Here is a 13133-nt window from a genome sequence, read left to right on the forward strand (position 1 = left end):
ATTTGACACACAGCAGAGAACCCTTGGGAATCTGTGGTTTTCTGGGGTTAAAAAGAAAGCAAGAGACACCTGTTATTTGCATGGTGCTCTGTGTTCCCTGGTTTACAAAGCATTTTCAGATATCATCGCAACTGATCCTTACCACACCTGTGAAGGGGGAACTCACGTCCCCATTTTATAGACGAGGAAACAGGTCATAGAGTCAATGTAATTCAATAGTGCTTTATTTTTTATTTTTATATTTTGCCTCAGCTATGCACAGTTTTTTCATCTCAATACTTTGTGATAAGTGACCATCACAAATGTCATCACCAAACCACCAAAACACAACCTTCTTTTCTGGGGGCACCTCTTAGCCCCGCACAGACCTTAAACCCAGAGTCGACAGCACACAGCTGTGTATCACCACACATTCCAAACAAGCCACCACACCAAGAAATCTTCTTCGTGTTTATTATGCAGCAATGTCTGGGAGTACTTTGGAATGGACTGGCTTCTCTAAAGAAAGTTATTTGTGTTCATTTGGGGGATCGCCAGCTAAGATTCAACGTTGTTTTTTTTTTTTTGTATCTGTGAGAGTAGGAAGGCCGTGAAAACAGAGGTTGTTTAGAGAATTGGCCTGGGACAATAACCATTTAGAAGCTTTAGGCACGTAACCAGTTAAGTGTCCATCGACATGAAACTGATTGAATACAATCTCCTCTGTTTGGGGGTGGTGGTGATTGTGAACTGTAGGGCCCTGTTCCCCCATGGACAAAGGAAGCCCCTCACTCCTAAAGGTCCCTTTTCCCAGCAGAACAGGCCCTGCATATACAGTGCCCGTCTAGAGCCAGGGCCTCCATCTGGGTGTTGGACAGTTGGTTCTGCTCAGCCCAGTTTTGGGGTAAACGATGACGCAGTTAGGGTGGCCTAGGAAGGGAGTTTTTCTACCTCTGTCCCCAGCTGGGTCTCTGGCGAGGCGGGAAGCACCCGGAATCTTCCTGGCCCTAGAGCCTGCAGGCTCCAGGCCGGCCCCTTGAATCTCACCGCGAGGAAGGCACCCTGCTGCCTGCACTTATTTGCATCCAAGAGTTTGCATTGAGACTGGCGCTTGCCTACTAGGGCAGCCACAGGGGGGTTCCCCAGGGACAGAGGTAGGGAAGGAGGACCTGTCTTGGGGTGGACAGGTGACGGGGTACCCTGGGTGGGGGAAGAGGTGCTGGGGAGAGGCTAAGCCCCAGCCCCCACTCTAATTCTCTAACAGCCCCTGGTCCGCATTTGAGTGCAGGCCTCTGCCTCAGCCAGGACCCTGACCCCAGGGCCCTCCACTTCCAGCAAGGCCCCCCACCCTCCCTCCCACTCCCACTCCCTTTCCCCTCCCCCTCCCCCCCAATTCCCGCTGGCCCCGCAGCGCTCCAGCCTCCCCGGGCCTCCCCCGGCCCGGCCCACTCGGCCTTGCTAGCCTGGCGCTGGGGGCGGGCACCAGCCCCCACCCCTCGGCGTACCATCCCCTTTACTTCCCCCACCCCCTGTCCCCTCCCTTCCCTCCCTTCCCCCCCGTGGCGAGGCAGCAGCGACGGCGGCGGCGGCAGCGGCGGTCGCGGCTGAGGCTGAGGAGGAGGCGGCGGCGGCGGGCGGGGCTCGGCTCGGGCTCCGCGGGCGGGCGGGCGGACATGGCGGCCAACATGTACCGGGTCGGAGGTAGGCAGGCTCGGCCCGACCCGGCCCGTGTGGGAGCGGGTTCCGGGAGCGGGGGGCCGGGGCGAGTGCACGCCAACTGCCGGGAGCCAAGGGCGCCGGGGCTGAGGTCGCAGTGGGCTGGGGCGCCGGGGCCCGCAGAGGGGCCGGGACTCCCCACCCCCACCCATCCCTTCCCCTCCCCCCACGCGGGCTCGCGAGGGCCCGGGGCCACCTTCACCCTCGCACCCCGCCCAGTGTTTAGGGCCAGGCCTCTACTTGGGGGTACGAATTACCAGACACCCCCCTCCACGAAACCCTCATCGGGGTAGGGCCCGTCGAGCCCCCTGAGAAGGTGGCCTTCTTGCGTGGCTTCTAGGCGCTGGAGAGGATGAGGGGACATCCCCTCTCCTGCTTCTTCCCCACTCAGTGGGAGCCTGGGGTGGGGGTGGGGGTGGGGGCGGTGGGGGCCCAGCCAGGGGCCCAGCTGGACGGGCCTGTTTGCGTGCCGGGGCCCTGCACCTCCCCTTCCTCGGCCCCCCTCCTTTTCGTTTCTGGTCCAGTCCCCCACGAATGGGGCTTCGTGGGAGCTGGGAACCTCAGCCGGAGGTGGGGAGTTGAGCTCTGCCTGGACGTTTGCTCTGCTGCCTGCCTCCTTCCCAGTCTTCTGCGGAAGAGAGAAATAAGGTCAAACAAACTTTCTCCCTACTCACGACGCCCTCCTCCCTCTTTCCTGGTAAAATAATAATTCAGATAAGTGGCGTGTTTGTATGAGAGACTGGCTCTTCCTTCTCTGCTCATTAGCCGAGCTTCTGATGGATGGTGGTGGGAATGGCCTGGCTAAATGAGGCCACTTTGCAGAAGAGAGCGGCGAAAGAGCCACTAAGATAGACAATAACAATGCAGCTGCCTTTCGGATAAACACACAGTGGGAAGTTTCCAGCAAGCCTATTAGATGAGAGGAAAAGCCACACTTGAAAAATTTTATCCTTTTAGTTGAAAGCCTGCAGCAATTTCTTAATCACAAGACATTAAATGGATCTGGATTAAATATGGTAAAAGGGTAAAAAAGATGCTGATATCACCCCCAGAACACTTTGCCTCTTAGAAGTGATCCCCCGGCCCCCTTTTTTCCTCATCTTCCCAGGTAAAACTGTGGAAAAGTTTGTCAGCGTTCTTCCTCTTAACCTGTTCTGCTCATCTGATTTTTTTTTTTTTTTTTAAGTAGTGATTGAAATGTAGGTTGGACTGTGAAGCCTTTCTCCCTGCTCTGAATGTGTCTTAGGTCAATAGTTTTATGTGAGAAGCAGCCTGCAGGGCAAATTGTATTGGAGGAAAAAGATGTGGAAGTAGTTATAGTACAGAGGACACATGTTTAGCGTGCCCTGACTACACAGTGATAAGAGGTGTCTTTTTTGTTTATTATTAAAGAAATGACGTATTGGGACAGAAGTCTAGGAGAAACTGATAAAACATTAATTGAAATGAAAATGCCAAGAAAATAAAGGTCTGTGAATAGTAGGCACGTGAGAGGATATATTAAGGCTGCATTATTATGTTTGCTTTTACCAGTGAATGAATTATGAGCTTAATTTCAAACGTGAAATGCCTAACATAAAAAGTCTTGGATTGACAAATCTGAACTTTCTGTTAAAAAGATTAAGTTCTGTACTTCCTTTAATTACAGATTATGTCTACTTTGAGAATTCCTCCAGCAACCCATACCTAATAAGAAGGATAGAAGAACTCAACAAGGTATACACTGAGTGTTCTTAATTTTAATATTAAAAATATTTATTTTCCCTTGATGGGTAATTGGGTAAAGGGTGGCCTGGTGTGGGGGCTCATGCCTGCAATCCCAGTAAATTGGGAGGCCTGGCGAGTGGATAGCTTGAGCCCAGGAGTTGGAGACCAGCCTGTGCAACATAGTGAGACCCTATCTCTTATTTTTTTTTAATTAATATAAAAAGTAAAAATATGGCTGGGTGCGGTGGCTCATGCCTGTAATCTCAGCACTCTGGGAGGCTGAGGCGGGCGGATCACCTGAGGTCGGGAGTTCGAGACCAGCCTGACCAACATGGAGAAACCCCGTCTGTACTAAAAATACAAAAAAAATAGTCGGGCATGGTGGCACATGCCTGTAATCCCAGCTACTCGAGAGGCTGAGGAAGGAGAATCGCTTGAACCCGGGAGGCGGAGGTTGCGGTGAGCCAAGATTGTGCAATTGCACCCTAGCCTGGGCAATGAGATAAACTCCGTCTCAAAAAAAAATAAAAATAAAAAAATAAAAATAAGCTGGGTAAAGGGGCATAAGAGATGATTTTACTTTCAGTCCCAGACTCTTTGAAAGATGAGATTTTAGGCTGGGCATGGCGGCTCACCCCTGTAATCCCAGCAATTTGGGAGGCCAAGGAGGGGGTGGATCACTTGAGGTCAGGAGTTCAAGACCAGCCTGGCCAACATGGTGAAACCCTGTTTCTACTAAAAAAGTACAAAAAAATTAGCTAGGCATGGTGGCATGCACCTGTAATCCCAGCTACTCAGGAGGCTGAGGCAGGAGAATCCAGGTGGAGGTTGCAGTGAGCTGAGATCACGCCATTGCACTCTAGCCTGGGTGACAGAGCAAAACACTGTCTCAAAAAAAAAAAAAAAAAAAAAAAAGTTGAGATTTTAGAGAGTTATGCACGATTCTGAATTCCGAATATTCTTTTGCTTTTTTGTTACTGAATATTTAAAAGTGTGCAGATATTTTCAAATTGCTTAGAGCCTCTGAAAGAGCAGTTCACTTATGTAACTCAGACCCTTTTTATGTTTAGAGTCATAATGTGTATTTTTCCCTTTTTAGTGAATTAATATTTTCCTCTTCCAGGTTTAGAAGGAGGAAGCTAGGGAACATAATATTGAAAGGAATTGGCTGGGCGGGTGCGGTGGCTCACGCCTGTAATCCCAGCACTTTGGGAGGTCGAGGCGGGCGGATCACCTGAGGTTGGGAGTTTGAGACCAGCCTGACCAACATGGAGAAACCCCATCTCTACTAAAAATACAAAATTAGCTGAGTGTGTTGGTGCATGCCTGTAATCCCAGCCACTTGGGAGGCTGAGGCAGGAGAATTGCTTGAACCTGGGAGGCATAGGTGGCAGTGAGCCAAGATCACGCCATTGCACTCCAGCCTGGGCAACAAGAGTGAAACTCCGTCTCAAAAAAAAAAAAAAATTGAAGGGAATTTGTAAAATTCTGGACTAGGCTGGCTGGGCACGGTGGCTCACGCCTGTAATCCTAGCACTTTGGGAGGCCAAGGCAGGCGGATCACGGGGTCAGGAGATCGAGACCATCCTGGCTAACATAGTGAAACCCCGTCTCTACTAAAAATACAAAAAAAATTAGCCGGGCATGGTGGTGTGCACCTGTAGTCTCAGCTACTTGGGAGGCTGGGGCAGGAGAATGGGGTGAACCTGGGGGGTGGAGCTTGCAGTGAGCCGAGATCGCGCCACTGCCCTCCAGCCTGGGTGACAGAGTGAGACTGTCTCAAAAAAAAAATTCTGGACTAGGCTAAATTGTCTGTGGTAGCTCACACCTGTAATCCTAACATTTTGGGAAGCTGAGGCCTCAGGATCCTTTGAGTCCAGGAGTTCCAGACTAGCCTGGGTAACATAGGGAAACCCTGCCTCTACCAAAAAAAAATAGCCGGGCATGATGGCACATGCCTGTAGTCCCAGTTACTTGGGAGGCTGAGGAAGATTGCTTGGGCCCAGGAGGTCAAGGCTGCCGTGAGCTGTGATTGCATCACTGCACTCCAGCCTGGGTAACACAGACTGTCTCGAAATTAAAAAAAAAAATTATGGTTTTGGTGTAATAAATATAAAGTAGCTTTGTACCTTTGGCCCAATTAAAATTTTCACATTAAGATTTGTCCGAGATGGTCGTTTATTAGGACAAAAGAAGCCTTATGATTGCAGGAGAAGAAACTTTTGTTTTGTTTTGTTTTTTGTTTTTTGAGATGAAGTTTTCACTCTTGTTGCCCAGACTGGAGTGCAATGGCGCAATCTTGGCTCACTGCAACCTCTTCCTCCCAGGTTCAAGCGATTCTACTGTCTCATCCTCCCAAGTAGCTGGGATTACAGGCATGCGCCACCATGCCTGGCTGTTTTTTGTGTGTTTATTAGAGACAGAGTTTCACCATGTTGGTTGGGCTGGCCTTGAACTCCTGACCTCAGGTGATCCACCCGCCCCAGCCTCCCAAAGTGCTGGGATTACAGGTGTGGGCCACTGCGCCTGGCCAGGATTTATAATGGAGGTACCAGAAAGCAGTCAAGCTGCATGGACCATGGATTTTCTAATGATGTTTTGTTTTCCTCCGATTTTCTAATGATGCTTTGTTTTCCTCCAGACTTCTCTGAGGGTTGTGTGGTTTATGAGACTTCATAGTGTTAAAATCTTTGAGTCTGTCTAGCTAATACCTTTCCCTCAAAATGCCATCTGGTAACTTGTTCAGTTTTGTCTTGAGAAGGCAAGCCTGACCTAGGACATTCTTAGTTTGAAGAGCCTTGAGACCTTGGTTTGTTTTGGGAATATCCCAGGGAATTTGCATTATTTTTATTTTATTCCAGAGACAGGGAGACAGGGTCTCACTCTGTCACCCAGGCTGGAGTTCATTGGTATGATGATAGCTCACTGTAACCTTGAACTCCTGGACTCAAAGCAGTCCTCCTGCCTCAGCTTTCCAAGTAGCTGAGACTACAGGCATGTACCACCATACCTGGCTAATTTTTTGTTGTTGTTGCTATGGATTCTTGCTCTGTTGCCCAGGCTGGAGTACAATGGCATGATCTCCGGTCACTGCAACCTCTGTCTCCTGGGTTCAAGCAATTCTTCTGCCTCAGCCTCCCGAATAGCTGGGATTACAGGCGCCCAACACCATGCCTGGCTAATTTTTGTATTTTTAGTAGAGACAGGGTTTCACCATGTTGGCCAGGCTGGTCTCAAACTCCTGACCTCAGGTGATCCACCCGCCTTGGCCTCCCAAAGTGCTGAGATTACAGGCGTGAGCCACTGCCCCAGCATTTTCTTTCTTTCTTTCTTTCTTTTTTGAGATGGAGTCTCGCTCCGTCGACCAGGCTAGAGTGCAGTGGCGCAATCTCAGCTCACTGCAAGCTCCGCCTCCTGGGTTCACACCATTCTCCTGCCTCAGCCTCCCGAGTAGCTGGGACTACAGGAGCCTGCCACTACGCCTGGCTATTTATTTATTTATTTATTTATTTATTATTTATTAGTAGAGATGGGGTTTCACCGTGTTAGCCAGGATGGTCTCGATCTCCTGACCTTGTGATCCGCCTGCCTCGGCCTCCCAAAGTGCTAGGATTACAGGTGTGAGCCACCGCGCCCGGCTTTTTTTTTTTTTTTCTGAGGCGGAGTTTTGCTGTTCTTGCCCAGGCTGGAGTACAATGGTGCAACCTCCTCTCACCACAACCTCTGCCTCCTGGGTTCAAGCGATTCTCCTGCCTCAGCCTCCTGAGCAGCTGGGATTATAGGCATGCACCACCATGCCCGGCTAATTTTTAGCAGAGATGGGGTTTCTCCATGTTGGTCAGGCTGGTCTCGAACTCCCGACCTCAGGTGATCTACCACCTCGGCCTCCCAAAGTGCTGGGATTACAGGCGTGAGCCACCATGCCCGGCCTCCTTTTCTCAAAATAACTGTGCTACTGCATTTGCCTATGTTAGTTGTCACCCAGGCTGGAGTGCAGTAGCATAGATCCTGGCTCACTGCAACCTCCTCCTCCCAGGTTCAAGTGATTCTCCTCCCTCAGCCTCCCAATTAGCTGGGATTACAGGCACCTGCCACCACACCCAGCTAATTTTTTTGTATTTTTAGTGAAGACAGGGTTTCACCATGTTGGCCAGGCTGGTCATCAAGTGATCCACCCGCCTTGGCCTCCCAAAGTGCTGGGATTACAGGCGTGAACCACTGCACCCCGCCTAATGTTTAAATTTTTTGTAGACGTGGTCTTACTGTGTTGCCCAGGCTGATCTAGAACTCCTGGCCTCAAGCAGTCCCCCATCTTGGTCTCTCAAAGCACTGGGATTACAGGCTGACTGCCTTTGCATTAAAAAAAAATTATTTAGTCTTTGAGACCACCAAGTGAAGAGAATGGCCTCAAGTGTAGATCAGTCCGTGGATGGGAACTGTTGGCATGTGATTCTGATCTTTTATGTTATTGATGTAAGGTATAAGAATTGAGGCAACTCTAAACTATTTACCATATCAGTTTAATTAGAAAGTTAATTACATCGAAATAGAAATCTTGACCTATGAGACCCTATATTCTTTGGCTGTCACTGCCCCTCTCTGACCTCCACTTTCGCTGAAAGCAGGTGGGAGCTCTGCCTTGCTTACTTGGCACAAAGCACAATGGGCTTTTGGCTGTTTCTCCCTGCAACCACCTTAGGAGGACCGTTTATTTGTGTCCGTCCTACCCCTCACCCCTTGCTCTTTTTTCCATATCATTTATCACCTCCAAATATACTTACTGTGTTTATTTTCATTACCTGTCTTCCTAGAGTGTCAGCTGCAGTGATCTTTTCTGTTTTGTCCAGTTATGCATTCTGAGTGCCTTAGAATAGTGGCTGGCACATAGTTAAAGGCATTCACTAAATACTTGTTGAATTAATTAATTTCTGAAATGTCTGATGTTAATGCTTATGTGTACATAGCTTTACTATTTACAAACTGCTTTGATTCATTCATTTTACAAATAAAATTGAGGACCTTCTACCAGCCAGGTACTTTTAGACAGTGAGAATGCAAGGGTGATAAAAAAAAAACAGGTCTAGTGGAGACAGACATCAACCATATAGTCCCACAAGTGAAAGTAAAATTGTAGCTGTGCTAAGTTTAGAAATGTCACAGCATGGTGCTCTGGAAACCTAACCCAGGATTCACGTTTGTTACCCTTTTGAGCCTCACAGAACCTTACACCTTAAGGTAGCTAAATCATGCATTGTTTTCTTGAGGCACATAGTAGCTAAATTATTGGGTTGCACATCTAGGTGAACATAGCTTATTTCACACTCCTTTATCATTTCATGGCCATTCATTTCTGAAATGCCCCCCTCATCCATCCTCACCTCCTCCCTCCGCCTACCTGTTGTCAGCACAGAGTCATCCATGTAATAGCGAGTTTCTGGGACTGGGGTTGTGTTGTGAGAGATGGGATTCTTTGTAATTTCACAAAATGGTAGTTTGAATGGCTAATTGAAATATTTACATAGGGTCTTTATTTCTGAAGGGATGTGAAAAAGACATCTTATTTTAGATAATTCATTAAGCAAATATTATTGAGTACCTGTTTTGTACCAGGCACTATGCTAGGCTCAGAGATAGAATGTGAACAAGATGTACATGGTCTCTACCCATACAGGGTCCACATTCTAATGAGGGAGACACCCGGAAAGACAAGTTGATGGGCATAAAGAAAATAGTAATAGTAATGAATTGTATTAACTTCTAAGAAGGCAAGAACCTTGACATAGAGAATGACAGGTCATTTCCTTTAGGTAGGGTGGAACAGGACATTGAAGTTGAGGCCTAAAGGATGAGGAAGAGGGAACCATGGGAAGAGAGGACGCAGGAGTGTTCTAGATAAAGGCCCTGGGAAGATCAGAGGTGAAATTGGCTAGGTAGGGAAAGTTGTTAACATGATGGGAAAATCCAAATAATGATTTAAAAATACTTGAAGACAGGCATGGTGGCTCAGGCCTGTAGTCCCAGCTGCTCGAGAGGCTGAGGCAGGAGGATTGCTTGAGCCTGGGGGTTTGAGACCAGCCTGTGCAACATAATAAGACCCCCCATCTCTGAAAAAAACCAAAACAAGGCCAGATATGGTGGCTCACGCCTGTAATCCCAGGACTTCGGGAGGCCGAGGTGGGTGGATCACCTGAGAGGAGTCTGAGACTAGCCTGGCCAATGTGGTGAAACCCTGTCTCTACTAAAAGTGCAAAATTAGCCGGGCATGGTGGCGCATGCCTGTAATCCCAGCTACTCGGGAGGCTGAGGCAGGAGAATCGCTTGAACCCATGAGGCGGAAGTTGCAGTGAGCTGAGATCGTGCCATTGCACTCCAGCCTGGGCAACAGTGAAACTCCATCTCAACAAACAAACAAAAAAACCAAAACAAAACCACCTCTAAACTGAAAATACTTACTTTGTTCTGATAGATAAGCTAGGGAAAAAAGGCTACTTGGGAGGCTGAGGCAGGAGGATCGCTTGAACCAGGGAGTTGGAGGTTGCAGTGAGCCGAGATTGTGCCACTGCACTCAAGCCTGGCAACAGAATGGTACTCCATCTAAAAAAAAAAAAAAATATATATATATATATATATATATATATAAAAATGAACTCTTAATTGCTGTAATGCACTTAGTCTCAAACCCTGTACTCATTTCATTAAATGCCATTAACAGTTGCAGACTGGCACTGGGCTGTAGACCCATGAGTAACCATGCTTCAGAAGAATGCTGGAGAGGGTGTGTTTGTAGAGGGGAAGAGGAATATGGTAGCTGTAAGCTACCTAGTAGCTAAGTGAGTGCATGGTCAAGAAGAGACTATTTATTTTGAACTATGCTCCCCGCCCCCTAAGCAGGTTTAAATAAGAATTTAATTAGCTTTGTATAGCATCCCTATTGGAGGAACTCACTAGTGAGGCAGAAAAAAATATGCCTTGAAACTGTTGATTTGGATTTTTTTTTTTTTTTGAGACGGATTGTCACTGTGTCACCCAGGCTGGAGTGCAGTGGTGTGGTCTTGGCTCACTGCAACCTCCACCTCCCAGGTTCAAGCGATTCTCCTGCCTCAGCCTCCCGAGTAGCTGGGACTACAGGTGTGTGCCACCACACCCAGCTAATTTTTGTATTTTTGGTAGAGATGGGGTTTTACTATGTTGGCCAGGCTGGTCTAGAACTCCTGACCTCGTGATCTGCCCACCTTGGACTCCCAAAGTGTTGGGATTACAGGTGTGAGCCACCGCACCCGGCCTGGATTTTTAATGTCTCAAGAAGAGACAAAAATCACATTGAAAATCCAAAGCAGCAGTTTCAAGGCATATCTCAAGAAGACAGAAATGACTAAGAGCTTATATTTGAAGTCATTGATAGATTTTATTTTATTTACATGGAAATTTTGGCCTGTTCATTTAGCAGATTGCTGGATCATTACTTCTGGAGAATGTATTTGATCACAATATTATGAAATATAGAAGCACTTTGGTTAGAAATTTAATATGATTTCAGTTTTAAGGGGCACTGTTTCCACAGGACTATTTCTTAATCTAAAATACGGCTGCTGGACTTCATAAAATTGACAAATTTACTGCAGCACTTATATTCTTCTTTGTATTTGAGTATATCTGTAAGACCAGAGAAATTTCTGAAAATTTGTTCTCACACTTGTTTGAAAATGGAAATCACAATAGCATTTTATTATAATCTGTGTGTTTTTACAGGGAACTTTGTAATGAATGATTGACCTTCTTGAGAGCTCTCAGAATTCTAGAGAATAGGAGAGCAGGAGCCTGGGCCCCAGCTGCAGTAAATGACAGCATAACTGAATTTTTTTTTGAAGCCATCATACTTTGGAAGAACCTAACTGAATATTGTTTGCATTGTAGATTGTAGCCAAAAAGAAATGAGAGTTTCAGTGTTCATAACTCAAGGTTTTTAATATTTTTAGATGTGAAGGTAAACTAAGTACTGCTTAGAATATTGACTCTTAGAGATTCATAGACTTCCTTGGTGTAGAGAATGCTTTTCCAGGTCACCTGGTCTATTCTGCATGATGGCTGCTTCCCACCTGCAGAGCTTCACTGTCCATGGAACATGGGATACTTAGGGGAGGGCTTGGTGATTTTACACTTAGCTAGTGCTTTCTGGGAATGGGTTTGGACGAGGTGTGTTTAAATGACTGAAATAAATTATTTCCGTCAGTTGTGGCTTTAAAAATTGGTGGGATTAGTTTCTTTCTCTTTTGTTTTTTTTAAGGCTAGTTAATTGAAGCAGTTGGGGGATTAGTTTCTTAAAGCTAATCAGTGTTAACTATGTCTGGCTTTAATCATTAAAGCAGTCTAATCAGTTTAGTTTAATTAATGCCAGTGTTATTATATGTTTGACATTCCAGTTGTGCTTGGAAGCAGAACAAATGTTGCTCATCCTTATTTGAATTTTTTAGCTCTGTGGTTATCCTGCAGTTGTGGTTGGCACCAGTGTTAATGAGCATGATCATATAATTGTGCTGTATCTAGTTTCGTTGTATAAATTATTTGACTCTAATATTCAGTGCAAATGACTTTTATTTTTCTTATCTCTTAGACTGCAAGTGGCAACGTGGAAGCAAAAGTAGTATGCTTTTATAGACGACGTGATATTTCCAACACACTTATAATGCTCGCAGATAAGCATGCTAGTAAGTTGTTTTTCTCTGATTAAAAAAACGTTTTAAGTCTTGTGTTTTTTGTGATGAGGTGGAAACATGCTTTTTCTTACCTGAAGTCTTTTGCTTGTCCATTTATCTTCTTTGTAGTTTTGATGGGAGTAAAATAAGTGATACTAACTGAAACCAAACACTGGTGTTTGGTTTCAGTGTATATGTGTATATATGTGTGTATGTAATTTTATATCTATATATATATATATTTTTTTTTTTTTCCGGAGACAAAGTTTGCTCTGTCACCCAGGCTGGAGTGCAGTGGTGTGATCATGGCTCACTGCAGCCTCAAAATCACAGGCTCAAGTGAGCCTCCTGCCTCATCCTTGCAAAGTGCTGGGATTACAGGTGTGAGCTACCAGGCCTGGCCTAGTATATGGTTTTTTAGGTTGTATCACATTCATTAATTGGTGAAAATGTTGACATAGAAGCCTTTGTAAATAGGCTTTAGCAAAGGATCTGGGCAGTGTCTTGCCATCTCCTGTTTTCAGTGGTGGATTTTTCTTTTGAATAGAGATGGAGTCTTGCTATGTTGCCCAGGCTGGTCTTGAACCCTAGGCCTCAAGTAATCTCCCACCTTGGCCTCTCAAAGAGCTAGGATTACATGCATGAGCTACTGGGCCTGGCCTATTGGTGGTTTTGTGAGGATACAGATAGGAGGAAATTTATACTTCACTGTTTCGGAGGATGTTTTCTCCCTGCTAAAACAACTGAATAATACTTAGTTTTTTTGGTGAGGGGACTAGGTCTTGCTCTGTTGCCCAGGCTGGAGAGTGCAGTGGCACAATCATGGCTCACTGCAGCCTCGATGTCCCGGGCTGAAGCAATACCCCCACCTCAGCCTCCAGAGTAGCTGGGTCCACAGGTGTGCACCACGACACCAGGCTAATTTTAAAAAAGCGTGTTACAGAGATAGAGTCTCCCTATGTTTCTCAGGCTGGTCTGGAACTCTTGGGCTCAAGTGATCCTCCTACCTTGGCTTTCCAAAGGCTCAAGTGATCCTCC

At 46.5% G+C, this 13133-nt stretch overlaps 1 protein-coding gene across 6 annotated transcripts in view, besides 6 other annotated features; it reads left to right on the plus strand.

The window, feature by feature from the left end:
• MTA3 (metastasis associated 1 family member 3) overlaps positions 1–13133 on the plus strand; it is a 262837-nt gene that overhangs the window by 72984 nt on the left and 176720 nt on the right. For 4 of the 6 annotated variants that reach the window (NM_001330442.2, NM_001330443.2, NM_001330444.2 and 1 more), the window contains exons 1-3: positions 1539–1680; positions 3344–3411; positions 12014–12107. In NM_001330442.2, the coding sequence (NP_001317371.1) occupies positions 1653–1680; positions 3344–3411; positions 12014–12107 (190 nt within the window). In that variant the 5' untranslated portion in view covers positions 1539–1652. Of the gene's footprint in view, positions 1–951; positions 1134–1538; positions 1681–3343; positions 3412–12013; positions 12108–13133 lie in introns of those variants that run through there. The other 2 variants (NM_001282756.2, NM_001282755.2) reach the window with 2 other exon arrangements.
• Positions 787–926: an enhancer, noted in NCBI's record as "active region_15650". NCBI's record gives its function as "activates an Ori minimal core promoter by ATAC-STARR-seq in GM12878 lymphoblastoid cells {active_cell/tissue: GM12878}" and the evidence as "EXISTENCE:reporter gene assay evidence [ECO:0000049][PMID:35858748]".
• Positions 1167–1216: a silencer, noted in NCBI's record as "silent region_11407". NCBI's record gives its function as "represses an Ori minimal core promoter by ATAC-STARR-seq in GM12878 lymphoblastoid cells {active_cell/tissue: GM12878}" and the evidence as "EXISTENCE:reporter gene assay evidence [ECO:0000049][PMID:35858748]".
• Positions 1277–1326: a silencer, noted in NCBI's record as "silent region_11408". NCBI's record gives its function as "represses an Ori minimal core promoter by ATAC-STARR-seq in GM12878 lymphoblastoid cells {active_cell/tissue: GM12878}" and the evidence as "EXISTENCE:reporter gene assay evidence [ECO:0000049][PMID:35858748]".
• Positions 1597–1756: a silencer, noted in NCBI's record as "silent region_11409". NCBI's record gives its function as "represses an Ori minimal core promoter by ATAC-STARR-seq in GM12878 lymphoblastoid cells {active_cell/tissue: GM12878}" and the evidence as "EXISTENCE:reporter gene assay evidence [ECO:0000049][PMID:35858748]".
• Positions 1817–1896: a silencer, noted in NCBI's record as "silent region_11410". NCBI's record gives its function as "represses an Ori minimal core promoter by ATAC-STARR-seq in GM12878 lymphoblastoid cells {active_cell/tissue: GM12878}" and the evidence as "EXISTENCE:reporter gene assay evidence [ECO:0000049][PMID:35858748]".
• Positions 4591–5117: an enhancer, noted in NCBI's record as "H3K27ac-H3K4me1 hESC enhancer chr2:42798824-42799350 (GRCh37/hg19 assembly coordinates)". NCBI's record gives its function as "activates a minimal SCP1, AML or CMV promoter by ChIP-STARR-seq in primed H9 embryonic stem cells {active_cell/tissue: H9 hESC(primed)}" and the evidence as "EXISTENCE:reporter gene assay evidence [ECO:0000049][PMID:30033119]".

This window comes from Homo sapiens, chromosome 2, assembly GCF_000001405.40.
Source record: "Homo sapiens chromosome 2, GRCh38.p14 Primary Assembly".
NCBI lineage: Eukaryota > Metazoa > Chordata > Mammalia > Primates > Hominidae > Homo > Homo sapiens.